Source organism: Homo sapiens, chromosome 11, assembly GCF_000001405.40.
Source record: "Homo sapiens chromosome 11, GRCh38.p14 Primary Assembly".
NCBI lineage: Eukaryota > Metazoa > Chordata > Mammalia > Primates > Hominidae > Homo > Homo sapiens.
The window spans coordinates 134,939,258-134,942,378 of NC_000011.10; the positions used below are offsets into that span (position 1 = coordinate 134,939,258).

The window sequence follows — 3,121 nt, forward strand, 5'->3', positions numbered from 1 at the left end:
TTTCTTTTCTTCCTTCACAGTTGCAAGCCCTCAATGACCTGGCACTGGGCCTTTCCCATTTGCCCAGGACTGCATGCTTCAGAGGGTGATAATGAATGATATTAATAACAACAACGCAACCACCAAATCAAAACAACAATCATAATTGAGGCCACCAACTTTAGGTTTCTCAGGAGGAAGATGAGCCGCTGTATATTAATATACATTAAATATATATATGTATCTTTTAGTGGTGATCAATAAAATTTAATAAATTCTATAAAATTTAACAAATATTTAATAAATACAATGTGATAATTATTTTTAATAACATTTAATAAAAATTAGCCACAATAAAATTAGTTTTAATGTGGATTATCCAAATTTTGGATATTGGAGAGACACCTTCTGCCAAAACAAATGGTCAAAGGTAAATTTCAATGTATCACCCAAAAATATCCTCTAAGGAGCAAACTCACTGATGTCATAGTCAAACATACTGCACTTATCATGTAGCATTCAGTAGGAAACTGACCATTATTTTGAAGAGAAATATTTAGTTTTCCCTAGCACATCATGGGCTCACTCTGATTACTTTATTCTGGTAGTTTCATGGCTCCAGAAAAGAGCAAATTCCAATGATTACTGTTCAGAACCAATGTCCAGGATGTCTTGGAGTTAGGAACCACCACTGGTTAGAGGAAGTAGCTCTCTCTCCTGCTGCTTCTCCCTGGCTGGGGGTTGCAGGGTACACCGAGGGGCTCCTTCTGTCCCGCTTCCTGCTGTTGGAGGCTGGGGACCAGCTGTGACCTTCCTTCCCACACAGGCCTTTGCTCCCTCAGCAAAGCAGGAAGTTCCCACTGACACCCCGAGGCCTTTCCCAACAGGCCGCTCTGCCTTTAGAAGGCTCAGGGAGCACCCCCTGGTGGGCTGCTTGCCTGGGCTGGGAGAGACACGAAAGGGAAGCTGGTTCCTTTTCAGCAAATTTTTCTTTGGTCTGAACGTTTTTCACAGTAATTTGGTATTCATTAATTCATTCATTTTACCATGTATTTGTTCAAAGATCTGTTCTACAAATATGTATTGTGTGACTACTATTTGCCAAGCCCCATTCTAGGTGTTCAAATAATGACTTGGGGAATAATAAAAGTGGAAATAATAAAATTAACAACTCCGTTTGTTTAAAAGTAATGACACTTAAGATATTTGCATACATAATCTTGTTTCTTGTTCAAAAGAGCACTATGCAGGTGAACGTTATTATCCCTTCCCTTGAAAAGATGAGAAGCCTGGAGCCTAAATTCAGACAGGCAGCACGTGTGAGCGGAGGTGGTATTTGAACACATGTTCGCCTGCAGCAAAGTCCAGTGACGCTGCTGTGCTGTCGGCGGCAGCCGAGCCCCCAGGACCCTCATGCTCTTGCTGGGACTATTTCCCGCTAGCTGAATGGCAGGATTTATGTTTACAGTCAGTCATTTACCAAGGAATTTTTAAAAACTTACTCCCAAACTCTTTGCCTGTCTTTCTCTTATTTATTCCATATTAGAAACCCACCTCCACTCTGCCTTCTCCAATAACATAGAAGCGAAGGTGCTTGCACTCTTCACCCAGGGCAGGAGGCTGCAGAGCCCTGCACGGTGCAGTGGGGAAGCCCCGCTGGTCCCTCCTCTCGGCTGTCCCTCTCCTCCTGGACAGGGCCTCTGTGTCAAGGCCTGCCTGACACCTTCATGGCCCCCAGCAGGGAGTCCCCTTTGACTGACAGGGACACGGGAGATGCAAATGCAGGGAAAGAGGCCACCCTGTGGGGGGGGGGGGACCAGGGACGCAGCTGGCCACAGGCAGTGGCAAGACAGCCTGGAACTTTATTTCAGCAGGGGATTTGGTGGCATAGGTGAGGTGAAGGGGAGTCCTAGACTTCTGAGCAATCCTTCAACTGAGAAAATAGTGTTACTTCCTGAGGTATTCAAATAGACAAAAGTGTCAAAAGGAAAATACGCAATCTCACGTCCCCTACCCCGATGTCCCAGCACTTACGGGAGGAGAATGTGTAGGCCCCTCTCTGCTGCTGTCCTGGAGGGTGGGGCCATGGACACAGAGATGATGCCAGGATTTGGTAAGGGGAAAGCTGCTCTGTTCTGATTGCAACCCTGAAAACAGCCCTTCACTGCACTCTGCAGCTGTCTCTACTCTGATGACCAAAGTCTGCTTATTTCCTGGATAGTGGAGCATCTCAGCCAGCACTGTGTAACGCTGCTGATTCGTTTTATTTCTGCTCTGGCCACGTTCACCTCTCCTGGGCCAAACACACCCAATGCTAAGTGCAAAGAAAAACACCACTCTGCCTGAGCTCCTCCTCACCGCCATCCCGGTCCTCCTTTCCCAAACCTGGACAGGTCAGCTGAAGGGCCTGGGCAATGATGCCACTGCCCACACCCTGCACATCATTTGAGAGAAGGCCCCTATGTAATGATCAGGTGGGGGCTGGAAGTGGTCTTGGGGGCTTCAGGCGTGGGGAAGAAGGCCTGAGTGCTAGCTTCGCCGCTGCCTGCCAGCAGCCTGGCCATCACCTGTTGAAAACCAGAGCTACATCCAAAGAGCACTCTCAGTTTACGGAGTCCCAGTACTGTTTTGGCTTATTTATGTTGCTGGTGACCCCTTTATGAATGTCTTCGGCCTGGACTTCTAGCCTGAACATGCTTAAAGATGTACTTTCCTAACCCTATTCTCCATCCAGGAGACCATGTAATCAGTGCTAGGGAAACATCAACGAGTCGTAGGGAATCCTGGTGCAATTTGACAAGAGTGCAGGGAAGGAAAGCTCAAGTGAGGAGCTGGTTTGGACCATGATCATCCATGGATGGATCTTCCACACTGGGGCCTGGGGGTGGGGTCAGGGTTCTGGCCAAGCTGAGGATACTCTCCATGTACACACAGAGAGCAGCATGTGGTTCGGACTCTTTGCTCACCCAGCTTGGGGGTGTGTTTCCCATCTAACGACATACAAGCATGTGAGCCTCTCGCCAGGCTTCTTCGTGCAGACCCCTTCTCCTCCCACTGCCTCCCTGGCCTCTGAGAATGGAGGAGTTTATTGTAAACCACCAGGCTGGGTGCAGCGGAGTCAGAAGAATGACTCACAGGCAGG

At 47.8% G+C, this 3,121-nt stretch overlaps 1 annotated feature.

Annotated features, from left to right (window-relative positions):
- Positions 1,956-2,784: an enhancer, noted in NCBI's record as "H3K4me1 hESC enhancer chr11:134811107-134811935 (GRCh37/hg19 assembly coordinates)". NCBI's record gives its function as "activates a minimal SCP1, AML or CMV promoter by ChIP-STARR-seq in naive H9 embryonic stem cells {active_cell/tissue: H9 hESC(naive)}" and the evidence as "EXISTENCE:reporter gene assay evidence [ECO:0000049][PMID:30033119]".